The sequence below is a fragment of the Homo sapiens genome, chromosome 7, assembly GCF_000001405.40.
Source record: "Homo sapiens chromosome 7, GRCh38.p14 Primary Assembly".
NCBI lineage: Eukaryota > Metazoa > Chordata > Mammalia > Primates > Hominidae > Homo > Homo sapiens.
This window is the reverse complement of record NC_000007.14, coordinates 139,575,095-139,601,557: the sequence shown is the minus strand read 5'-3', so window position 1 is coordinate 139,601,557 and position 26,463 is coordinate 139,575,095. Positions and strand designations below refer to the sequence as shown.

Genomic DNA, 26,463 nt, shown 5'->3' with positions numbered 1-26,463 from the left:
TAATCTAATTATTCATTCAGCAAGCGTGTAATTAATTGATCAGCTGCTATATGCCTGAGCATTGTTCCAGCCACTGAGGGAATTCAAAAGAACATTAACACTTCCTAACACCAGAAGCATATGGCTCCCAGGCTTCAAAGTTTGTTTTTCACGTAAAGTATAATTTCTTCTTTAATAAAATGGTATTGCTAAGATATCCTGCCTACGTCACAGAGTGGAATAAAATAACCCATTGAAGACACTGTGTAAATTCCGCTTTTTCTTCATTTAAAAATTTTTTTTATAAAATTAAGGTGAAACTTTTTTTTTTTTTTTGAGACAGTGTCTCGCTCTGTCACCCAGGCTGGAGTGCAGTGGCACAATCTCGGCTCATGCAACCTCTGCCTCCCAGGCTTAAGTGATCCTGCCACCTCAGCCTCCCGAGTAGCTGGGCCCATAGGTGCACCCCACCATGCCCAGCTAATTTTTTGTATTTCTGGTAGAAAGGGGGTTTTGCCATGTTGCCCAGGCTGGTCTCAAACTCTTGAGCTCAAGCCGTCTGCCCTCCTCGGTCTCCCAGAGTGCTGGGATTACAGGTGTGAGCCACCATACCTGGCCTGTAAATTCTAAAATAGAATATTGTTCAGGATAAACACCTAGGTGCTCAGGGACTTTAAAAGTTGGAGGGAATATTTATCTCCAGTCCCTAGAACTTAAAAACTTGGAGCCGGTGTACTTGGCATTCTTCCCACTTGAAAGTCCTCTTTCTCACTCACAGCCAGTTATGTTTCACCTACTCCTTATGAGTAGAAGAAACCCACCCGTTGAGCACACATGGCCAGGCTCATCCCTTCAGCAGCTGCACAGCTAGTGAGATAACCAACTGCAGTCAGCGTTTAATTGGGGAGGAAGCTTGATCTTATAGAGGAGCTCTACTTTTAGAACACCTCTAAGGCACCTTGTTGTCCCGGTTGCCTTTCAGAAATACGCATGCTCACGGAAGCCATTATAATCCCATCATGCAGCAGCCTGCACTATTGACCGGTCATGTGACCCTTCCAGCAGCACAGCCCTTAAATGTGGGTGTGGCCCACGTGATGCGGCAGCAGCCAACCAGCACCACCTCCTCCCGGAAGAGTAAGCAGCACCAGTCATCTGTGAGGTAGGTGGTGAGAGCCACCCTAGGGAAGAGAAATCCCAGGGGATGTGAGTGCTAAAGAAATGTAGTTTAGGGAGTATCAGCACCCACTCTGAACATGGGACAGTTGCATGGGATGGGGGCACTCCTCTTCCTGCAGTGACTAGCAAAACATCCTGTACCACCTGGTTTGGCCTAGGGTTTGCAGGAAGCACTTGGTTTAAGACCGTGGTAATAGTGTAGGGATGGATGCAATGGAATCTTGCAGTGGGCAAGAGAGATTGGGCTCAACTCCATACAGCGTGGGCGAGTGAAAATTTATAGCCAAGGCAGGGTTGGGGGGTGTCGGTGGATGGGAAGTTACTAAGAGGAAGCATCAGGGGTAAGGGAGATTCTGCCTAAACTGACCTAACAGGATTCTTGCTAATGACAGGCCCGGGTGATCAGATATCACACCTGGAGGATGAGGAACCTCATCAGATATCGAGGGTGATCAGATATCAGGGATGGTGGGTTCTTGCTAAACTGACTTAGCAAGGTTTTTTGCCAAAAGTAGATTGTACAGCAGAGTGCACAGTTAGACCTAGGAGAAGGTTCACAAGCCTGACTAAAGTTTGGTGAAGCAAATTATCTTTTGTCACTTTCTACTTGTCTGGAGAACACTCAGCTTCACCTGAAGTTTCATTTTGGAAACAATTTACCATAATAATTGTTTTAAAATATTTTAAAATGTTGAAGTTGTTTAAAAATGTTTTAAAAAATACTAAAGAAATGTGCTTTCTTTGTATCTAAGATCAGAAGTTTAACTGATTTAGCACCTTGCTTAAATAGAAGCAATAGCTTGTTTAATCCCAGACACTAACCAGCAGAACACAAATCTTTCCCATTCCCTTTAAATCCATTCTCATCTCAATGAACACTTTGAAAAAATCAAGGTCAACAAAAGGCTGCATGCTGTATGATTCCATCTATATGGCATTTCGGAAAAGGCAAAACATAGAGACAGAGATCCGATTAGGGCTTGCCAGAGACCAGTAGGAGAGGAGGAGATTGACTGCGAAGAATCCTGAGGGGAAAAGCTCTAAGTCTGGATTGTAGGGGGGGTTATGACTGTGCATTTGTCAAAACTCATCAAACACTTCAAAGGGAGAAATGTTGCTATATGTCAGTTATACCTTAATAAACCTGACTTTTTAAAAAATGGAGATTTCCAAGCCAGAGAGAGAGAGAGAGATCGTGTGACTACAGGATTGCTCCTGCATCTCTTCCTAATGGCACAGCTTTGAGGTGCTTAATTGCTTATTTGCGATAAGTCAATCAAGAGAAATCTGGTATACAAAATGTCTAGTGATTTTGGTTTTCTGCTTCCTCATATAAGCAGATACCAGAAACTAGGCCTTTTTCTTTTCATTCTTATTCAAAAATTCATCCAAGGGCTGAAGTTGTCATCCTCCAAGATTCCTTATTTGGGTATTTCTGACAACTCAGGGAAATTTATCTCAGATCATTGGCAGCTTTCCAGAACGCTTTTGTTTGGCAGCCTTGTGACAGCTCACCCATGTCATTATTAGACTGGGTGGCAACAAAGTCCACTGTCTCAATCCTCATGGGCTGTCATGCCCAGCAAGGTCACATGGAGCACTACTCTGTCCCAGGACTGAGCTTAGCATCTTTGTGGTTCACCTTGGCTGAGTAGGGGCAGTAAGAACCCTTAGCCTCCCAACCTGTTTAGCAAGTCCCTCCTTTTTGTTTACTCACCACCCAGCTGACTTCATGAAGCCTCATTGCCAGTACATTTCAAGATCGATATAATTATAGTGAAAGGTATGTATTTGCTTATTTTTAAGACCAATGCCTTAGCAAAACAGTCTGAAAGACCAGAAGTCTCTCCCTTGTTGGTGATGTGGCCAGGCATACTTTTCCTTAACAATGCCAAGTGGAGATACTAAAACCATTGGTAGTGAAAAACATAATCTTAAAATTGTAATGTATTAGCAACGACAAATACATAGGTTTATAGTAAGTACAAACAATGGTACAATCATATCAGTGAAACATATTACCAGTCCCTAGAAGGAGCAAGCAATGTATCTGGCACTAGCTAGATAGGAAAATAAATCCACCTTTATTGAATTATTTTCATTTTACTGCCATCCCTTTAGCTAGAAGGTGCTAGAATCTCTAAAGACATATAAAAGTCTGAGTTTCATTATACATTGCTGTTAGTCTCTCACTGCATAGATACTACAGGTTGAGCATCCCTAATCCAGAACTCCAAAATTGTCCCAAATTCGGAACTTTTTGAGGATTGACATGATGCCGTAAGTGGAAAATTCCACACCTGACATGTGGTCTCAGTCAAAACTTTGTTTCATCCAGAAAATTATTATAAAATAATGTATAAAATGACCTCAGGCTATGTGTATAAGGTGTATATGAAACAAAAGAATTTTGTGTTTAGACTTGGGTTTCATCCCCAATATATCTCATTATGTATATGCAAATATTCCAAAATCTGAAAACAAAAATCCGAAACACTTCTGGACCAAGCATTTCAGGTAAAAGATGTTCACCCTGTGCCAGAGTCAGTGAGGATCTAATAGGGAGGGGAGAAAGTATTTTTCCCCTAAAGTTACCAAAAATCACACTGGTTAATTTAGTAAGGAATTTCAAGTTGATCAAAATTAAGATTAAAAGTTCTCTTTTTAAGAGTGCTTTTTCAAAACTCTTGCACTTTTCCAAATTTTCTATTACAATTTAGACTAATGCGCCTCCCATGAGGCTCCACGAGGCAAAATCCAGAAAAATCATTTTTAAGGTTTTTAGCAATTATATGCACACAAATACTTTGATGGTCATGTTCTTTTTCCAGAGGAGGAAAGAAGGAAAACTGAACCACTGGTCACCAAGGTTAGGTCCTTTAGATCCTGAAACTCTTAAGGAATGAATGTTTCAGTAGAATAACCATTAGCAAGGAAACCAAAGCTTGATGTGGCAAACACCAATTCTTCCACCACCCCCAAAACAAGACTTAAGTACCTTTGAAGGGATGACACAAGACAGAGCTCAGAAGTAGGGCCTTGACCCTGAAGGCGAGGGGGTGTGTTGGGGCAAACACAGCTGGAATCCTGGCATGACATCTGCTCCTACAAGACCTGTAGAGCCTGGGGCACAAGAGCCCCCTCCCTGCTCCGAAAGCCCTGGCTGCTCCCTTTGTCCTGCTGGGAGCAGGCATGTAGATCCAAACCAGAGCCCAGAGAAGGCCTGTGTAGCCGCTCACTGAATGATCCCTTTCCCAGTCACAGATGGAGGCTCATTGGGCAGCCACTGACGTGTTTTACAGAGATTTGGCAAAGCAGGTGTTTCTAGGCAATTGGGCTCCTTCGAAGGAGTTGTGGGGCCTGACCTTCCTCTGTGTGAGAGTGTGGTTTTCTCATTACAGAAATGTCTCCACCTGTGAGGTGTCCTCCTCTCAGGCCATCAGCTCCCCACAGCGATCCAAGCGTGTCAAGGAGAACACACCTCCCCGCTGTGCCATGGTGCACAGTAGCCCGGCCTGCAGCACCTCGGTCACCTGTGGGTGGGGCGACGTGGCCTCCAGCACCACCCGGGAACGGCAGCGGCAGACAATTGTCATTCCCGACACTCCCAGCCCCACGGTCAGCGTCATCACCATCAGCAGTGACACGGACGAGGAGGAGGAACAGAAACACGCCCCCACCAGGTGAGGCAGTGCCACCTTAGCCTTCCAGGAAGGAGCCGGGAGGGTTTGCATTGTGTGCAGATCTGACCATCTTCCATCATCAAACATAAGGATCCCTCTCTTCTGACCCTTACAGTTTGGTTTTGCCATCTACTGTGGTCCTAAAGTTATTTCAAGGGAATGTCAAACAGGTTTTCCATAATTGTTTAAAACCAAAATAATGTCGAATCATGTTGGTCTTAAAAGATAATTATAGGCCCTATACATTTGGGGAACTTGAGACCATAAAAATCGGGCACACAATGCCAGTGTATTTCATCCTCTGTAAGTTTAAAAGTCTCTGCCTCAAGCTAGTGAATTTATTCCCAGTTGGTCAGGATATTTCTCTAACATTGCCTTGGCTCACTCAGAATACGAAGTAATTGTCCAATTAATCAGAAATTTCCCTGTGTCTGATTAACCTAATCTTTCAAAACTGCCAGTTGGCTCTTCACCCAGAGAGCATTACTGTTTATCCCAAAGTAATAATAATTCATTTTAGTCTTTGTGTGCTTCCTGGGGAGAGGGAAGAAATCTTTATTATATTTACAAAACTACTAACCCTGGCGCCAGAGCCTCTTTTTCTGTACTGCCCAGCCAGACTTCAGCAAAATGTGGTTTTTGTTTGGGCCACTCAGCTCAGGTTCTGAGCAACCCCTCTAGAACAGTTGGCCTCCTGGCCTTCTGCATCCCTAGAGTGTGGCCTTGTAGAGCCCAAAATCTCATGGCCCCACCCTGCTGGCTCCTTTGCACTGGAACCGAGAGCCAGGGAAGGGAGGCCTGCCCCTCCCAGGCCCAGCGCTGCCAGTCAGCACGCATCCTGCAGCTGGATATGAAGCCTAATTCACAATTAGGCTCGAATTATTAATTCCTGATTGGATGCAATGTAACTAATTAGTAATCACAAATCCTTTGATTAGATAATAAATTCTCACATTTGAAATCATTACAAAATGTATAGATAGACTGATGAAAACATTCTCATTATAACTATTCCTGCATAGGACGTTCCCTTCCCTCTTTATAATGAAGTCCAGTGGTTTTAGTTTGTTTCTGGGTGGGGTTAGTACATGTCTCATTCAAGTGTCCTCTTCCCACCAATTAGGTACAGCCTAATTGTCATTGTATTTCAGAGAAGAATGTAGTGGAGCACTTGTGGCCGTAGCATTGTGCCAGGTGTCAGAGGGGACCCAGGTCAAAGGTCCAGGCATAGCACTGAATACTTTGGCAGCCCAGGACTGCCTTTTACTCCCCATCTGCCTAGTCCAGAAATGGCCTCAGGTCCCTTTTTGATGACAGCCTCAAGTTGAGTGAATGGTCCATTCTCCGCAGTGCCCCCACACCACCACCCAGGAATACTGTCGGTTCAGTCCTCACGTGGGCTCAGCAGTCTCTTCACAAAGGGGACGGCCCTGCCCAGCCCCAGACTGAAGCCTGGCCTTGAGCAGCCACCCACACGTGGGTAGCCTTGGTCATCAGAAGGGTCCAGCAGCCTTGCCCGGCCCTTTGCCACAAATGGAAAAAAGCAAAAGCAATTTAAAATCTGACAATCAGCTAGATTGGAATCTCATTCCTAACGTATGAGATCTGAGTTGACACAGACTCTCAACATCTGTGCCCAGGAGAGAATTGAATAGCGTGTCTGAGAAGGAGGATGAGAGAGCCGTCTCTCCACCAGTCAGAGAGCTGACAGGGCTGAGAGTGGAACGCAAAGCCAGAGCATGTCCGTGCCTCTGCGGCAGCCCCTAAGGCCCCCAGAAAGAAATGATAGAACCGAGAGGCTGGGCAGCAGATGAGGACCTTCATGGGAACAACTCAAAGAAACCTGGGAGAGAGAGCCAGGTGCACAGGTGAGGGGCAGCCACAGACAGACAGTAGCAGTGGCTACTGAGTCCCACAGCATCCTGCAGTGAAGAGTGGCGGGGACTGCCAGCCTGCCAGGGTCGTGAAAATGTGCCGGACACATGAGGCTGAATAGGGAAGCTGCAGACTGAGGCTAGGGAGTCATCCAAAAGGCTTCAGCTGTCCACAGTTGTGACTGGGAGCTCCCAGAATAATGTTTTCTAGAGAGATCTAATGGCAAGTGCCTTAGAAAATGTCTTTGCACTCAAGAAGGTAGGAAAGTGTATTTGAGTCTGAGTAGGATAAAACAGAAACCAGTAGCTGTTTTATTTATAGAGAAACCACTGTGTAACTGTGATCACATTATTGTGACTACATTTTGGGATCAGAAAAAAAAAATGTGGGGAAATATGATTACTTGTTCTTAGAAGTCAGAATTATCATAAAATTTAACACAGTCAGTATTTATTGGCCCCACTAGTGTAAGATATTATGCTGGGAACTGCAGGTGTTACATAAATAAGGTAGACAGTTTGTGTCCTCATGAGGTTTGCAGGGTAATAAACAAGACGAAACACATACAAATCATTATAACACAAAACACAGTGTCAGTCCCATAAAAATGAGCAAAGTACCATGGGAACTCAAAGGGAAAATAGCTTAAGGGAATAGCAGGGGAGGGGGGCTTTGAAGGCCAAAGGTCTGGACAGGTCCACACAGTAGAGGAGGTGCGGTTGCAAATTCAAGTGAGGTGATTGATGGGGCAGAGCCTCCAAGGCAAGCGAACAGGATCAAGACCCCTGTGCAGGAGCTTATCCAAAAGGGGCTTCAGGATGGAAAGGGGGTTGGGGAGGGATCTCCCCTTACATGGGGGTGGTCAGCTTTGTCAGGAGATACTGAGGGGCTCAAGGGGAAGCATCAGTCCTGGGAAAACAAGGATGCACCCCCAAGTGCAGCCACATGGAGGGGTCACCTGGTCCCTCTCCAGCTGAAGAGCTTCCCCAGCCCTTCTGTGTCCCAGCTGGAGCGATGGAGACCTTCCCTCCTACACATTGATCATCCTTGTTCTCGAGCCTGATTTCTCCATGCTGTGGGCATGTTGATTCCCACCTTCTGTGTTCCCAGCCTCGTTTTCTATTTGCTACTTACCCCAGTGCCAGTCCTGTAACTTTGCCTAAAATGCTGGTTAATTCCCCTAACATGGCTCAGCCTCAGCTTGGCAGCCAGAGTCAGGCAGCCGATGACCTTCAGAGGGATGGCAGTGCCTCCACCACCAAAGGGGCTTTTAGACCTGATTGAGGGTGTCACTAAACCTCTAGGACTAGATGATATAGCCTAGAATTTTTAAAAGAAAGCCAATGCAAAATCATTATTCCTGACCCCACGTATGTGGCACTGTTGGTTGCACAGCAGATGGCTGGCCAGCAGCTCCACTCGTAAGAACTCCAGGGCATGTTGGAGGCAGATGCTGGGAGACACTGAGCTAAAGACAGGAGAATCATAGCAAACATGCACTGGGTGTTCCACCCGCACTAGCTCCTCCATCATTTGATGGGGCATGCAAGGCTGATATTTCTATTCCCATTTGATAGATGAAGAAACTGAGGCTCAGGAAAGGTAGGTGACTCACCCAAATTGATACAGGTTCTAAATAGCAGAATTGGGACTCAGGTGCCATGCTCTTGAAGAAATGTCAAACTTAATAACTGGCAAAAATAACTGATTTCAGTCATTCATTCAATGAATACAGATTCTATCCTGCTCCCTCCTGTGACTACCACTATGCCACTGTGTGCAGGTCACCATGCCAGGGCCATAGGGAGTCTAGAGTATTGTCCACTGAGCCCCCTCTTGGTGCTGGGCGTTTGTCAGAGTGCTGGAGCCATGGCACTGAGAAGGGCGGAGTCAGCTCTTTTTAAAGTAAGAAGGGCAGGGAAGAGCCAGGGAACTCCTTTTCAGTGAATTACTGTTGGACTAGGGGACTCTGGTCATGGCTAGAGAATTGGCCAAAAGATAAGACAAACAGATATTGTTCTGGGTCCCCCAGGATTAAGTAGTAGAACTGGTCTTCTTTTAAATATTTATAGACAATTTCGATTAGAAAAGCATTTAATTGTCTACACATACTGAACAAGCCATCTTTTCTCTCCTGGACTCTCTTGATCCACGTCTCCTGATCCAGACCCCCCTGCTATCTTTACCTTGTGTTGAAATGGTCTTGTAAAGGCTGTAGCATACAACCTTTAGTCATGAGGGTAATTTCTTTTTTTATTTTTGTAAGAACTAGAGACAGTGTCTCACTATGTTGCCCAGGCTGGTCTTGAACTCCCAGGCTCAAGCAGTTCTCCTGCCTTGGCCTCCCAAAGTGCTGGGATTACAGGTGTGAGCCTCCATGCCTGGCCGAGAGTAATTTTTTAAGTGTGTAAACCAAAGTGGTTCACATCAACTGATCATATAGAAATGATTTTGTCCAGCTCCATTATTCATTCACGCATTCACTCATTCAGTTACCTGGATATTTCTGGTAGGTGGGTTGTTCTGCTTAGGTCATCAAGTGTCTCCTGCAGGCTGCACTTCACTGTGCCTGTGTAAGCAGCCACTGTTTCAGCCGACGTTACCAAAAATGAAAACTTTAAGAAAATTGATTCATAAATATCATTCAGTATTTTAGATATAAAAACAGTTACTTAGCTCACTCTTAACATGTTTATATATAAAAAAAATTTGACCCGAAATGTTTTCCTTGTTTATACTAAGTTGAAAGTCTAGAGAAATCATTATAGATAAAGCAAGGTTAGAAAACTGATAAACTGCAGCTCAAATTACTTTGGCCTGAAAAATTAACATCCACTTAACAGAGGGAGCAAAAACCACACACACTCATTTATTATTGCATGGGCAAAAAGCCCAAAGTGGGATTAGCCTCCATTGCTACCTATAACCATGTAGCTTGCTCCATCCTGCCATTGGTTGAGAAGCTGCTACAGCCAGCCTCCTGCCATGCTCATGGAGACGTGGGAATCAGGCTTGAGTGAAGGAACAAAGGAACCCAGACACACAGTGCCATTTGAAGGAACTTTGGTGTCTCTCCATTTTGAGTACAATACATCCCCAGTTGAAAAATATTTCAGTCATGTGACTCATCTCAAGAGGTGATGGTAGGATCTTTTGTCCAGCTGACTTCGCCACACCCTCTTTACAGGGCTCCATTTAAGACACTCCAGTGGGCTGAGTAGAGTGGCTCAGGGGTGTATTTTGAAGAAGAGACACTTCACCCTACTGTCCCCAGCTGCTGTCACATTACAAAGCTGTCACTGATATGCCACAGCTTCCTGGTTTGCTCCTTGCTTTCCACAGGGAAGAAGGAGGAAGAGGGGTGGCAGAGGGTTGGATACCATAGGGCAGAGCGGTGCTCAGTGGATAGACTGAAGGTGATGAGGAAAGATGAGTCAAAACTCCCAGGCCAGTTGGGAAGAGAGAGACTGGACTTCAGAAGAAGATGGAAGGAGAGCAAACACTTCCTTCCGCTGCATCTGATGGGACAAGGACGAGGTGACTACTCATGGCTACTTCTGCGACCCTGTTTCTGATTTCTCTAGAAAGTAGTCATGTAAAAATGATCTTAAGGGTGATATATGTGTATTTATATACACACACGTGTAGACATAGACATAGACATAAATATGCAGATAATACAATTTGAAAGGAGGAGCCAGGCATGGTGGCTCACACCTGGAATCCCAGCACTTGGGGAGGCCAAGGTGCCAGGATCACTTGAGGCCAAGAGTTTGAGACCAACCTGGGCAATATAGCAAGACCCTGTCTCTACAAAAAATTTTTTTAAATTCCCCAGGCACAGTGGTACGTGCCTGTAGTCCCAGCTACTTGGGAAGCTGAGATGGGAGGATTGCTTCCGCCCAGGAGTTCGAGGCTGCAATGAGCTATGCTCATAACACGATACTGCAGTCTGGATGACAGAGTGAGACCCTGTCTCTAAAAATAATAATAATAATTTGAATGGAATGTATGTGCCATATTAAAATGAAGATTTTTTTTTTCTCTCTAATGACTCTAAGTCAGCAGCTATCAGGAAGGAGCATACTGGTCTGGAGGCACACTGGAATTACCAGCGTGAGCCACTGTGCCCAGCCAAAAGTAGTCATATTCTTTACCACATCATCTTGCCATGATGATTAAAGGAGATAAACATATAAAGCACTTTAAGCTGTAGTTAGTATGCATCCAATAAATGTTACCTGTACTTAATAATCAGCATCATAGTAATAGAACACATAGCATTGACTATGAAATCAGAAGGGTAAAAGAAGTTATTGGAGGAGATGAGTTTTGACCCTGGTCTTGAAGGATGAAATTGACTCAGATTAGCAAATAGAAATCAGAGACACATTCCAGATAAGACCCTACAGGGAAGGGGTCACAGGTTATATCTGATCTTCTGCCAGTGCTTTCTCCTTTAGGGATTTCTTTACTTTTTAGCTCCTTATTTATTTTCATCATTTTGAAATGATGAAAATTATCTATTGCCATGACAACATAATGCAATTGTGAACTCTGACAGCTTTGTTCTTTATTCAGAAGTGATGTTCTTCCAAGGCCATTTCAGCAAATATTTCTCACTCTGCCCCTATCGCTATCTCTCTCACTTGCATTAACCAACTCATAATGGGATTGATAAGCTGTCAATAATAACTAGACGCAATCATGGAATGAATCCCAGTAGTATCGATAGATACGAGCCTAAAGAATCTGCCGTAGTCATCTGAAATGTGTGCTCATTTCTAAAGTGACTCATTTAACAGCTTCCCATTAGTTCTCTAATCTGCATAGTGTGTTCAGGTAGAGCGCAGAGCTTTCTAACAATGGAAGAGATGAAAAACAGCTAGCAAATGAATTCACCTTCTGCAAATAAATGTGTCACTTGTAAATCCAAAAAGGTAGGCAAATCAGCATCAAGCTGTGCCGTACATATTTGCTCATTAAGCCAGGGGCTCCCCAGCTACAACAAAGGGATGGGACCTGGGAAGAGTTTATAAAGGTTTTATCCCACACTCCTTGTAGATAATTAGACACTGACATGCAGATTCTTCAGTCTCTTCAGTGGGAGGCTCACTACCTGTTGGGTTTCCATCAAGGAGATGGCCCTCAGTTCTCACAGGTCACCCACGCCAAGCTGTCAGCTCTCACAAGACTCATGCCAGAAAGCCATTCTTCAGTGACAAGAAGCTCAGTGACTCATGAAGTGGCTGTTGTGTCTTGAGATAGTTCTAGTTGTTAGAAAATTCTTATTCATATTAAGCTGAAGCTTCTCCACAATTTCCACATTTGAGTGAAGAGCTCCAAATATGCCCAATTTGAATTTTACTCGAGGGCAGATTACAGTTTTGCCAAAATTAGTGTGTGTTTTTGTCTTTTTGTTGTTTTTTTTTTTTTTAAATGCTCATTTTCTAAACTACTCAGATCCTAAGGAAGATATGATCAGCAAGAACTGGCCAGATCTGGGTCTATAGGTAAGGTACATCTGCTAAAAGGATCTCTTTCCTCTCCAGATTAGGGCTAGACCATTCCTATTTTAGAATGTCTCTAGGAATCTTTCAGAGATCCTCATAATGGCTCCTTTAATGCCATGAGTAATCTCTCTCAATGAATTTCAGAGCAGATTGGAGCTGGATGGATGTTACAGGTTATCCAGGCCACTGTCCAGAGCCACACCAGTAAAGGAACAGCAGAGCTAGGACTGCAGTGCCAGCTCCCAGGACACATTTGGGAGTCAGCCTCCATCCTCACCTGGGGTCCTCCACCCACAGAATGGGCACCTGCAACAGAACATGTCTGCGTTTCATGAGATGACCAGAGGCATGTTCATCATTCAGGAGTAGCTGTGCCCGAAGCTGAGAGTGAAGGGCAGGGCAGCGCCATCTCCTCACCTCCCCTCGGGAGCCAGCAGCTGCTCCCAGTCATGGCTCCCAGCTCTTCCCCTGGCCCTCAGAGTACTTCGAAACAGTGTGAGGTGGGAGGAGTTCCCTTATTACACAAGAGACTGCAGCAGACCAGTTGTTTCCCTTTACTCCCCCGCATTCATCCCAGAAGACAGCTGCAGGTTTCTCTGCCCTTGTCTTCTTAAGGCAGCTCTCCTTCCCTCCTGCTCCCTCCTCGTCCTCAGCCTCCAGCATCTCCCTGCTTTCAGATCCCTCCTCCCTACCTCCTAGCTCAGAGACCTCCTAGAGTCCCACTTCCTTTTTTTGCTTAATTTATATTTATAAAATATTTCGAGATATTCTTTTTTGTTGTTATTGGTAGACAGCAATCTTTTTTTTTTTTTTTTAAGACAGTCTGGCTGTGTCACCCCGACTGGATTGTAGTGGTGTGATCTCAGCTCACTACAACCTCACCTCCTGGGTTCAAGCAATTCTCCCACCTCAGCCTCCCAAGAAGCTAGGATTACAGTCATGTGCCACCACACCCAGGATTGTTTTTTGTTTTTTTGTTTTTTTTTTTCAGCAGGGGGCCAGCGCGGTGTGGGGGCAGAGTCTCACTCTGTCACCCAGGCTAGAGTGTGGTGGTGTGATCTCTGCTCACTGTAACCTCCACCTCCCGGGTTCAAGTGATTCTCCTGCCTCAGCCTCCCTAGTAGCTGGGATTACAGGTGCACACCACCACGCCTGGCTAATTTTTGTATTTTTAGTAGAGACGGGGTTTTGCAATGTTGGCCAGGCTGGTGTCGAACTCCTGACCTCAAGTGATCCGCCCACCTCGGCCTCCCAAAGTTCTGGGATTACAGGTGTGAGCCACTGCACCCAGCAGATTTCTTATTTTTAGTAGAGACAAGGTTTCATCATGTTGGCCAGGCTGGTCTTAAACTCCTAGCCTCAAATGATCTGCCTGCCTTGACCTCCCCAAGTGCTAATTACAGGTGTCAGCCACCGTACCTAACTATTTTTATTTATTTATTTATTTTCTTTAGAGTGTAGGTCTCTTTGTCACCCACACTGGAGTGCAGTGACACGACCACAGCTCACTGCAGCCTCAAACTCCTGGGCTCAAGCCATCTTCCTGCCTCAGTCTCCCGAGCAGCTAGGACTATAGGTGCACACCACCATGCCTAGCTAATGTTTTTATTTTTGTAGAGGTGGGATCTCACTGTGTTGCCCAGGCTGCTCTCAAACTTCTGGCCTCAAGCGCTGGGATTACAGGGGTGAGCTACCGCACCTAGCTTCCACTTTGTAATTCTTGTACTGGATCTCAGTGCCCTCCCACCCTCTGGGTGTCTCTACTGAGCCCTGATGTACAGCGGCGAAGTGCCCAAGACTCTGAATCTCTTTTGCTTTTTTTTTTTTTTTTTTTTTTTTTGAGACACAGTCTTGCTCTGTCGCCCAGGCTGGAGTACAATGGTGCAATCTTGGCTCACTGCAAACTCCACCTCCTGGGTTCAAGCGATTCTACTGCCTCAGGCTCTGAGTAGCTGGGATTGCAGGCCCCACCACCACTCCCGGCTAATTTTTGGTATTTTTAGTAGAGACGGATTTTCACCATGTTGGTCAGGCTGATCTCAAACTTGTGACCTCAGGTGATCCACCCACCTCGGCCTCCCAAAGTGCTGGGATTACAGGTATGAGCCACCTCACCCAGCCTGGACTTTGTTTTTGATGGAGATAGAATTCATGTACTGTACTGTATAGTTCACCCGTTGAATGTGTACAATTCAGTGGTTTTAGTCTGTTAATTTTTAATTGTGGTAAAATATAAAATTTGCCATTTCAACCATTTTTAAGTGTAAATTCAGTGACATTAATTATATTCATAATGCTGTATAGCCATCACCGTTATCTATTTTCAGAACTTTTCCACTACCCCAACCAAAAACTATACCATTAATCAGTAACTTCCCACTCTCCTCTCCCCTAGCCCCCAACCTCTGGTAACCTCTAATGTATTTTCTGTCTGTATGAATTTGCCTGTTCTAGATATTTCATATATGTAGACTCAAACAAACTATTTGTCCTTTTGTGTCTGGTTTATTTCATTTAATATTTTCGAGGTTCATCCATATTGTAGCATGTATCAGAACTTTTTTTTTTTGGAGACAGGGTTTCACTCTGACACCCAGGCTGGAGTGCAGTGGTGTGATCATAGCTCACTGCAGCCTCAAACTCCTGGGCTCCCACCTCAGCCTCCCAAACAGCTGGGACTACAGGCATGCACCACCATACTTTGCTTATTTTTTTAATTGTTTGTAGAGATTGGCTCTTACTGTGTTGCCCAGGCTGGTCTTGAACCCCCAGCCTCAAGCAATCCTCCCACCTCAGCCTCCCAAAGCACCGAGATTACAGGCATGAGCCACCCCTCCCAGCATTCATTCATTTTCATGACTGAATAGTATTCCACTGTATGGATACACCATATTTTCTATTCATTCACCAGCTGATGGACACTCGGGTCGTTTCTACCTCTTGGTATTTTGAATAGTGCTGCAGTGAACATTGGCTTACATGTATCTGAGTACCTGTTTCCAATCCTTTGAGAATGTACTTAGGAATGGAATTGCTATAGGGTAACTCTGTGTTTAGCTTTTTGAGGAACAAGCATATGGACATTTCACATTTAAACTGTCATAACTGGGAGGTGTGGGTCTTTATTAATTAAAATTTATCTACTTTAAGTTAACATGAAGAGCCATAAATATATGCAACCAATTCATTCCTCACCTTCTTCTGAGTTCTTAACAATTATCATCTGTACGATTCATCTGACAGTTAATCACGGAGGCTTTGTGACATCCATTATTCTCTCTAACTGGTTATTTTAAAGCTTTTACTATTTAACTTGTCATGTTGTTATACAGTCCTCCACTGAGATTTTAATCTCCTCGAGGGCAGAGACACATATTTCTTTGTATAGGTATTCCCTGTAGTACCCCGCGTAGATCTCCGAGATATCATGAGTTTTAATTTTCTTTGATTTCAATCTTCTGGTTTATTCATAAACTAGAAAAAAGGAAACTTTTCCAGCAAGTCCTTACCCTGATAGAATTCTCTTTGCCTAAATAAGTTTTTTGCAAACCTGTTTTCACATGTTAACTAAGGTAACACAACTTGTAAGAAGAAGAAGAATAGCAGCTATTATGGAATACTTACCATGTGTTGTGTATCATTGAAAGCACTTGTATTTTCTCACTTAGTTCTCAAAACAAGCCTATGATATAGGTACAATTATTACCTACCTTTTACTGATGAGGCCACTGAATCACTGAGAGGTTAAATAGCTGCCCACCGCCCTGTCACCAGCACATGCCGAAGTTAGACAGCTGACTCCAAGGTTCGTGTTCTCACCCACGAACACGGTTAGGCACCCTGAACCAGAGAGGACAGTGTCCAGCCACTGGAAGAATTATCCAGCCTAGATGTCAGGAGCGCTGGGCGTTGGGGAGCAGGGCCAGCGCCTCCTGGGGACTGCACCCCCCAGATCCCCCAGCCTTCTGTAGCTCAGCAGACAGGCTCTGCTTCTGTCCCTCCTGCCTGGCTGCTGTGGGCTCTGGAATTTGCCCACTTCCCTGCTGCCTCTAGGGTGGTGGAGATCCATCATGGGAAGAGCCTGGCCTGGCTGTGTGGCCTCAAACAAGATACCCGGGAGGTGGCTGTGACTCTATGAGGCTCCGTAAATACCAGCTGCTTCTCTCATCCAATTAGCTGGAAACTGACCAGTTGCCTAGGCAATTTTTATTTCTTAAAAATAAATGATCAATATATAAAAATAGATGCACATTCATTTTAAAGTCTTAAATAAGCACACAATAAACAATAAATTTCACATCCATCATGCCAGCAGCCTCTCACTGAGTTTGAAGACAAACAGAAGTAGTTCCCAAAGTAACCACACTAACTTAAATATCTCTGAACAAACATGCCGGCCAAGAGCTATCCAAAGCCAGTGCCTCCCTATTGTATGAAGTTCCACATATAAGATGAAGGCCAGGGCTTCAGAGTGGCTTTCACACAGCATCAACCTGGCAGGGGCCTTCCCACCAGGCCCCGGTGCAATACCATCTCCCCCGATCCCTTGGCCCAGGCAGTGGAAAAGCTGCAGGTGAGCCTGGCTCCTGAAAAGGGGACTGCAGAGGTCGTAGTGGCCTGCACACAGCCCACAGAGCACACTCAAAGTAAGGAGAGGCAGAGGGTGTCAACTCTAGCTCTGCGTTCTCTGCAGCATGTCTGCACTGTGCTGTGTGCATGCAGCCCCCTCAGAGCCTCACGCTGCATCCCATTGGACATTCTGCTCCCTCCTGCATAAGCTTTGCCAGGCCGCAGGCACCAAACCTAAGCTTATGACATTCTTCTCCCAGCGAGGTTTACTCCTAACCCAGGTCCCCAGGTTGCTGGGTTCTTGCTGGTTCTCTCCTTGCTCAGATGTCCCATTCTGGCAGGCCCACGGGGGTTGTACCCAGCTCTGGGCTGCAGGTGCCTCCCCTGCAGCTCTGCTGAGCTCTGCTGCACAGGAAGAGCCCAGGCCAGCCCGGAAGCATCTCACTCCCTAGTTTCCAGAAGCCCCTGTGGGTCCAGCACCAGCCCCTTCTCCATGTCTTCACATGTCCCCCTGCTGCCGGCTACACAGGGGACTTTTGCATGCCCAGTCTCCCTATGGGGGTTAGGGAGGGCAAAAGCCCTGTTCCTGCCCTCTCCCCTCTGCCTCCCTCCCCTGCCCCAGGGCATGAAGTGCTAGTTGGGTGTCTCACCTCACGGCCTTCTCCCACCTCTGACTTCTCCCTTTGCATTTTCAGCACTGTCTCCAAGCAAAGAAAAAACGTCATCAGCTGTGTCACAGTCCACGACTCCCCCTACTCCGACTCCTCCAGCAACACCAGCCCCTACTCCGTGCAGCAGCGTGCTGGGCACAACAATGCCAATGCCTTTGACACCAAGGGGAGCCTGGAGAATCACTGCACGGGGAACCCCCGAACCATCATCGTGCCACCCCTGAAAACCCAGGCCAGCGAAGTATTGGTGGAGTGTGATAGCCTGGTGCCAGGTAATTTGGGGCCAGGACAGGGCAGGAACCTCTCCCTGGAGAGTGGTTTTCCTGCTTTTCTGCTGCTAGAAATGTTGCTGTATGGGAGCTAGTACAATAGAAAGTGCCCAGTGACTGCAGGCGACCCTTACCGAGGATTTTATTCAAGTATCCAGGGGAGGCTTCTGCTGAACAGCACATTGTATAAGCAGCGTTTTCCTTCTTTAATCCTGTAATCAATACCTCTCTGCCTTTACAATGGCTCTGCTTCCAACTAGGTTGATTAATAGAAAATAAAAGCCTCCTGGTTCTTTATGCCTGAGCCTGGAAGAATACCTGGTCTGGGGAGTTCCTGGCTGACATCTAGCACCACTCTCTGCCAGGAAGCCCTGGTGGTCAGATGGGCTTCTTGTGTAGGAAGAACCTCCTCCGAGTCTTGCTAGGGAAGGGTGAAATTGGCCCCTCTCAGCCCCTCCTCGGAATCAGCTGCTGGGCGGCGAGACCAAGCCATGTGTGTTTCTCTGCTCATGCACTGCTATCTTCAGAGGACTCCTCCTGTCCCGCGAAGGCTTGTCTTGAAAATTGGGCCCTGGAATAAAGGCTGAGAACGTAACCTTCTGAATAAACTCAGTGGCTCACTGTAGATTTTGTAGCATCTATTTAGCGTTTCCCTTGCTCATGCTCACAGTGGAAGAATGTGGGGACTAAACCAGAAGAAGTCTGCGCGTCCCGCTATTCCGCCACAAACCACACCCAAGCCAGCCTGCACCTGCGTGGCGGCATAACTGAAAAGGGAAGGAAAGGGAACGCCAGGAAGCTTTTGTCTAGATGTGAGAAGCTGTTACTTCTCAGGAGGACCTCATGTCTGTCACCTGAGGTCGCTACAGGAAACTGGGGACTCTTCCTGGGTGGTGACCACATGTGAGACCCAGTGGGCGCAGGCCCCATTCAGGGGCTGCCACTGAGGATGAAGCGTAGAGGCAGGATGGGGTCATTAGGGCTTTTCCAGCCCAGTGCCTCAGGCCAGCCTGCACGGTGAGGGTCAGAGCCCTGGCACGCTCTCCCAAGAGCTCATGGCATTGCCTGGGATGGGGCCCCTTTTGCTGAGAGGCTCTGCCTAAAGGGGAGATGGTGACAGCCACAGGCTTGCGCTCCCCGCCACCTACTTCCTAACCCAAGGCAGCATCACCCTTTCCGACATTTGCGGCGAAGCTCTTTTTCCCTGACTTTGGAGTTACCCCAGCTACCTTTCCTCTGAAGAAATGCTTGTGAAATGCAGCTTCTCAGCACCCTGCTAAAACGTCTCCTTTTGCAAGTCCTGGTCTGTCCCCAACAGTACCGTCATGACGATGCAGCCTCCAAGCAGCTTTGACATCAGAGCCAGCGCTCCTGTGGGCCTGGGGGCAGGGGGTCGTGGTGCCTACAGCGAGAAAGACACACAAGCAGCACGCAGCTCGCGCTGTGCTCTCTCGGAAGAAGGAGACCTTACCTTCAGGAAAAATAGAGCCACAGCAGTGCCACATGCCAGGGCGAGCATTCTGGTTGACAGGGGCCAGGCTGTACTTGCTGCTAGGGTCTGGTGACCTGGGGCCAGAGAAGCAGGCTGGAGCCCTCCCAAAATTAGGCATCTCTGTGAGGAAAAGAAAATGAAGCTGTCCCTTCCACAAGGCTACAAGGACATCTCTCTCCAAAAACCATCTTTTTCCACCCGGGCAAATGTTTTGGTGGAAACCCTGCCAGGAAGCAACATTCTCTAGCAGTAACCAAAGGGCCCTGGGAGGCACCCGAAGTCATTCCCGGGAGCCAGGATTCCTTAAAGAGAGCTGCATACTTTTCAGCTCAGCTATCCTTTAAATATTGTTTAAGGGTATATGCAGCACACATTTTTAAGTTTAAATATTTGCAAAGGATAGAATTTGTCTTGTATCATTATTTAAGTTCCTTAAATATATGTTTGTGCAAACCTCGAAGCTGCAGACTGAACTCATACCATATGCGGGAGTGCTGCCTGTGCCCTCACGAGCAGGGGCATTCCTCGTCTGGTGCCTGCCCTTCCCCAGCCAGTGGCGTTCAATACCGATACACACCTTTAGCTGTAGAACCCACCTAGGCTTGGAAAAGTCGGGAAAGCAGCCTTCCTCAGCTCCCTGGAGCCCAGTGATGCATACAGGCCAAGGTACAGCCAGTTAACAGCTCCCCCAGCTACAGCACCCAGAGCATGGGAGAGTTCAGCGCTCCCCCAGCCCTCTTAGGCCAGGATATGCACTGCTGTTTCCCCGCCATACTCACCCCCTCCTGTGGCTCTCAGTCTTTCAGTCCTTCTCAGGTTGGGGTTAGTGAAGTTTCTTTTGGAAGCAACAGAATGAACTCTACACTGGCTTAAGACAAACAACTTATTGGAAGGATGCAGGGCTAAGGGAAAGTTCAACAACTAAGTCCCAGGCAGGGCAGGAGCCAGAACCCCGGGGACCTGAGCCCTGGGGGCCAGATGCCTGCTCTCTGAAGCTGCCTTCACCCGACTCACCGACAGCAGCTCCCAGGCTCCTGGTGTCCCATTTCCAGGAGACCAGAATTGATTGTCCCAGCTTGGAGAGACACTTGTCGTTGCTTTTTTTTCCGGAGAGGAGTCTCGCTGTGTCACCCAGGCTGGAGTGCAGTGGCGCGATCTCGGCTTACTGCAACCTCTACTTCCCGGGTTCAAGCAATTCTGCTGTCTCAGCCTCCCAAATAGCTGGGACTACCGGCATGCACCACCACGCCCGGCTAACTTTTTGTATTTCGGTAGAGATGGGGTTTCACCGCGTTAGCCAGGCTGGTCTCGAACTCCTGAGTTCAGGCAATCCACCCGCCTCAGCCTCCCAAAGTGCTGGGATTACAGGCATAAGCCACCATGCCCGGCCAAGACACCTTTTTTTGAGCCTCAGCTTTAACCAGGAGACAGAGTTCAATAATGACACCAACAATAGCTAACACTAAGTACGTAAATGCCAGATACTCAATACTTAAGCCCTTAGATGCCAGATACTAAGCATTCTACACTTGTTAACTCATTTAATCCTCATCACAGCCCTACATGGAGCTGCCATGATCTTCCCAGTTTCCCAGGTTAAAAATGGAGGCACAGAGGGGTTGACCAGCCTTCCCAGAGCCATGTGGCTGGGCCTCCCAGAGGTCTGGCCCTGGAGCTTATCTGTGCTGTAAGCACCCCTGCCAACTCACCTAGTGTAGACAGGGCCACTGTGGCTGTTCTCAGGACAGGAGATCACGGAGAGTAGCTGGACAAGGCATGACTGGAAAACTCTAGAATGTTTCCTCACTGTTCCAAAGTATACATTAGGAGGTTGACCAGCATTAGCCCATTGTCGCTTTGTCCATCGCCACAGGAGGAGTTACTGTTATACTTTAATCTCTTGGTCCCCTTCAGGACGTCCTCCCTTACTCGGGGCTCTCGTCCTCTGAGAGCTTGGCAAGCTCTGACTCAACCCCCATCTCCTGTCCCCATGATGATGGTAGCATCAGGGCTGCATTACGCCCATTTCATCTAACATTCCCTAACCCCTTCACTGATCCCTCGAGCTCAGTGTTTCTCCCTCAAATATCATTACCACAAAATGCCCAGGAAGTTGGAATAGAAGAAGTAGGTGACATGCACAGCGGGGCCCAGCACAGTCTGTGACCCGCCGCAGAGCAAGAAGGAGGCTTCCCCCAACACAGCCACATTGTGGCTGCAGAAGGCAAGAAGCAGGCTCTGCAGAGCCAATGTTTGCAGCTTTCTATTTTTCTTTTCTACATTGAGTCCACAAAAATCCCTCCATCCCTCAGGTTTTGGGGGACCTTTGAGTCTAATGGGTTTGGCTTGGGCACAGTGTTGGGTCGCAAGGCCCTGATTCCCAAATGCAGGTCTGTTCAGCCAGGGCCAGGAGGCTCTGGTGTCCTGGGAAGCTTGCTAAGAATACTGATTCCGGATCTCCCGTACCTACTCGAGGGATTCCGATTCAGTGGATGGGGTGGGAGGGGCCCCAGGCGCAAATGCACGGTTGGATTTGCGGCCTCTGAATAGCACCCACTGCCCCCATCCCCACTGCGGCAGCTCACCCTTCACTTAGGGCAGGGGGCTCTGAGTTTTGGGGTCAGGAAGGCCCCCTTCCACCTGTAGTGAGCACCAGAAACTTCTGTCCCCAGGTTTCCGGTTTTCCTTTGACCTTCTTGAGAGGCTGAGACCTCTAGAGGCACATTTCTCTCTTCATCAACAATTAATCAGCATTCTTTCTTGCTGGCTCCAGCCTCAGGCGTCTCCTCTTTGACTTTGATTTCATCGCCCTGGGATTTGTAATAGAATTGATCCAACCGAATTCAATCAAGGGCCTGGTCGTTTCCATGCATGGCTCATTAATATTTAGCACCTCTGCCCCAAGAATGACCAGATTCTCTCCTTTTACACTAACCACCCATAGGATACTTCATTGAGACAGTATGAGCCTTCCAGTTCACCTAAGATGCTCAGGCCCCAAAATGAATGCTCCGAATTCTTGCTTCTGAACGTGAGGTGTAGATCTGTCTTTGGACATCTTGCAATATGTTCTTGCTGCCTCTCCCTTCATATGAAACATTTTACCTGATTCGTCCTTTGAACACCCCTACTTTGGGCACCTTCCTCAAATGTGGACTGCTTTAGAGTTGGGGCTCTGTGGAACAATAGCACCGCATTTTGGCGAATGACTGGATTCCCTGGCCAAAGCTCTTTCCCATACTCAGTTATTTCATCTTTCCTCTCCTAGGGCTTCCTTACGCTTTTCAGTGTCACCAGGCAGTAATCCTAAAGTCCAGCAAGGTTTCCAAAAAATATAAATCACAGAAATATAGCTGTCCGGCACGGTGGCTCACGCCTATAATCCCAGCACTTTGGGAGGCCAAGGGTGGGGCAGATCACCTGAGATCAGGAGTTCGAGACCAGCCTGGCCAACATGGCAAAACCCCATCTCTACTAAAAAATACAAAAAATAGCCAGGTTTGGTGGCACACACCTGTAATCCCAGCTACTCGGAAGGCTGAGGCTGGAGGATCACTTGAACCTGGGAGGCAGAGGTTGCAGTGAGTCGAGATTGCACCACTGCACTCCAACCTGAGCGACAGAGCAAGACTCCACCTCAAAATAAAAAAAGGAATTTAGCTGTCCTCCATAGAAAGTCAAGGTGATAAAAATATTTCAAGCACATTCCAGAAACTTAATGAAGAAAAATAACTGAGTACAAGATACAACACATGAAGTGCTCAAATCAACAAAGGATGGCGGAAAGGAGGTTACTCATTACCTTTCTCTCTTAAAATGCGCTCCCTTTTTCCTGGGCAAAGTCTTCCTCAGTCTGGTTCTTAGACTAAGAATCAGTACCATGGCTGGGCACAGTGGCTCACGCCTGTAATCCCAACACTTTGGGAGGCTGAGGCAGGCAAATCACTTGAGGTCAGGAGTTCACGACCAGCCTGGCTAACATGGTCAAACTCTGTCTCTACCAAAAATACAAAAATTAGCAGCTGGGCGCGGTGGCTCATGCCTATAATCCCAGCAGTTTGGGAGGCCAAGGCAGGTGGATCACAAGGTCAGGAATTCGAGACCAGCCTGGCCAATATGGTGAAACCCCGTCTCTACTAAAAATACAAAAATTAGCTGGGTGTGGCAGTGGGCGCCTGTAGTCCCAGCTACTCGGGAGGCTGAGGCAGGAGAATCACTTGAACCCGGGAGGCGGAGGCTGCAGTGAGCTGAGATCACGCCACCGTACTCCAGCCTGGGCGACAGAGCGAGACTCTGTCTCAAAAAAAAAATTAGCTGGGCGTGGTGGTGCATGCCTGTAATCCCAGCTACTTGGGAGGTTGAGGCACGAGAATCACTTAAACCTGGGAGGCAGAGGTTGCAGTGAGCCAAGATCACACCACTGCGCTCCAGCCTGGGAGACAGAGCAAGACTCCATCTCAAAAAAAAAAATCAGTATTGTTTCTGTGCACATCTCACCCCAGCAGGACTGGTTGCCCAAGGAGGCAGGACAGCCCCCAGCCCCAGCGCCAGGCTCTTGTTCATTCCCTGGTCTGCCCTGCCCTTCTTGGTGGGGGACCATCTGCCTGTCTTTCCACCTGGAAGATGTTTTCTTCTCCATTAACTCTACTGTTCTTTAGCGTTTAAGGAACAGAAGCAATGCTTGTTGTAACTATGGTTTCTAACTATACAACACAAACCACACAGTCTTCAGGCTGCTTTGTCGTAGCCTTCACTTACTAAACCCCTCTTTTTCTGCTTCCGTTGTCATTGAAGTTAGAGAAAGGTATCTGGAATTTTCTGCCTCCCACACTTTCCTAGGCCATTATGCAGTTTGCTCCTAAAGAAGCCCAGTGTTGGCCCAGCGCGGTGGCTCACGCCTGTAATCCCAGCACTTTGGGAGGCCAAGGGCAGGTGGATCACCTGAGGTCAGGAGTTTGAGACCAGCCTGGCCAACATGGTGAAACCCTGTCTCTACTAAAAATACAAAAAAGTTAGCCAGGCGTGGTGCCGGGTGCCTGTAATCCCAGCTACTTGGGAGGCTGAGGCAGGAGAATCACTTGAACCTGAGAGGCAGAGGTTGCAGTGAGCCGAGATCGCACCATTGCACTCCAGCCTGGGCAACAAGAGTGAAACTCCATCTCAAAAAAAAAAAAAAAAAAAAAAAAAGGAAGCCCAGTATCTTCTCACTAGTCTGGGTCTGTTTGTTGCTTTTGCCATTACAAAAGTGCTTGCATTTAATGAATGGCTATGACTGGTGCATCTGGGTGCATTTGATTGGAAATTTCATTTAGGTGTGTATTAATACTGCACTGTGTGTTAGGCAGCCCTCTCCTGGAGGAGAGCTGAGGCACAGGGACATGGGGGGCTAGTAAAGCATCTCTTCTGCTTTTATCAAGGGGTGATGGTCCTGTCTGCAGAACTCCCCAAGCTGGGGTGGGGAGATGGCCCCCACTCGGCAGCAGAGCTCCCGCCCTCTGGGGCTCTTGCCCCTGCTGGGCTGGACACTCATGCCCTGTCCTGCCCTGTCCTGTTCCATCAGCCTTCTTGGACTTGGGCTGTCCCTGACTGTCAGCGTCTTCATCTGGTTTATCCTCTGGCCTCGCCACCTCATCTGCGTGATCTGTGATGCCTCCTCCTTATTCACGCTCTCAGCCTTCTCCCTGCCACCCCCGTCCCTGGTGGTACACAGTCACCGTCCTTAGCACAGGGCAGGAGCTCAGAAAATACTTGGATGAGTTAAAACCACTGGGCTCTGAAGAGGCTCCTGGCTCCCCTGGCTCTCTGGCTGGGTAACATGGAAGCCATCCAGCTCAGGGTTTAACCCACCTCTCTCAGAGCCCCTGGCTACTCAGAGCGTGGTCCCCCAAGCAGCAGCACTGGCACCCCCTGGGAGCTTGTCAGAAATGCAGGTGCTCGGGCCCCCCAGAGCTGCTGGCCAGAGTCTGCACTGAACAAGATGCAGGAATTACATTTGAGAACTGTTGATGGAGCCACCTGCTGACCATGAGGTCACCTCTGGAGGGTTGCAGTGTTTTTTCCACTCTTCAGCCCCCTTGGCAATAACATGGAGGCAGTTTTGTGCTTGGCCATGTTTGGCTCACAGGGCCATTCCCCGGATGATTTAGTCTCATCCTGCCTAGAGGCAGGTAACTGGACCAGGTGACTCTGAGGGTTATTTTAGCTTCTAGTAGTTTATTAGGTCCCACCACAGACACTGTCTCCTCTGATACTCATAGTCACCCATGGTGGGGACCAAGCAGGGATCCTGTCTTAGTCTATTTTGTGTTGCTGTAACAGAGTACCTGAGACTGGGTAATTTATAATCAATAGAAGTTTATTTGGCTCACGATTCTGAAGACTGGAAGTCCAAGAACAGGATGCCAGCATCTGGCAAGGACCTTTGTGCTGCATCTTCCTAGCACAGGAGGCAGAAGGACAAAAGAGCATGAGGGTGAGGGGGCCAGACTTGTTTTCATCAAAAAAGCCAATCTCTCAATAGCTAACCCACTCCCGAGATAATATTAATGCACTGATGAACTCATACACTCATGAGGGCTCTGCCCTCAGGACCTAACATCCCTTACTGGCCCCACCCTAAACACTTGCACTGGGGACTAAGTTTCTAACACAAGAACTTTGGGGAACACATTCAAATTATAGCAGATCTCTCCTACCCATTTTCCAGATGCTGAAAGTAACACCTCCCAGAGGAACGGCACTGGGCCTGGCCTTAGGCCACCAGCCCACCTTGCCTCTCCTGATTCTTTTCCGCTTTCCCTTGCTTCATTCCCTCATGCAGCCCCGACCACCCTCCCAGCCGAGGGAGTGAGCCAGAGCCCCACTGCATCCAGAGTCAAGGCAAAGTCCTAGTGGGTCCGGGGGAGATGAGGCTGATTTGTTACTGCCCGGCCTCAGGCACATGTTTCTTCCTGGAAGACCACTGTTCTCTGGTGGGGTAGCATCTTCTGGGCAGCTGGGACCCTGCCACTGATCTGACCTCTTTCTCCTCCCGCCACAGTCAACACCAGTCACCACTCGTCCTCCTACAAGTCCAAGTCCTCCAGCAACGTGACCTCCACCAGCGGTCACTCTTCAGGGAGCTCATCTGGAGCCATCACCTACCGGCAGCAGCGGCCGGGCCCCCACTTCCAGCAGCAGCAGCCACTCAATCTCAGCCAGGTAAGCCCCACAGCTGGCGCCCCAGGCCAGGCA

General features: G+C 47.6%; 1 protein-coding gene and 1 long non-coding RNA gene across 14 annotated transcripts in view; one reads left to right on the top strand and one right to left on the bottom strand.

Moving 5' to 3' along the window:
* LOC105375530 (uncharacterized) overlaps nt 1-16,025 on the bottom strand; it is a 30,021-nt gene extending 13,996 nt beyond the window's left edge. The window contains exons 1-2 of the long non-coding RNA XR_001745383.2: nt 15,940-16,025; nt 9,213-9,331 (exon numbers count right to left, since the gene is read on the bottom strand). This is a non-coding gene — a long non-coding RNA (uncharacterized LOC105375530). The remainder of the gene's footprint in view (nt 1-9,212; nt 9,332-15,939) is intronic.
* The window catches only part of HIPK2 (homeodomain interacting protein kinase 2), a 216,429-nt gene that overhangs the window by 176,441 nt on the left and 13,525 nt on the right, over nt 1-26,463 (top strand). For all 13 annotated transcript variants that reach the window (XM_047420265.1, NM_001113239.3, XM_047420260.1 and 10 more), the window contains 4 exons: nt 962-1,141; nt 4,560-4,841; nt 17,494-17,741; nt 26,270-26,430. In XM_047420265.1, the coding sequence (XP_047276221.1) occupies nt 962-1,141; nt 4,560-4,841; nt 17,494-17,741; nt 26,270-26,430 (871 nt within the window). The remainder of the gene's footprint in view (nt 1-961; nt 1,142-4,559; nt 4,842-17,493; nt 17,742-26,269; nt 26,431-26,463) is intronic.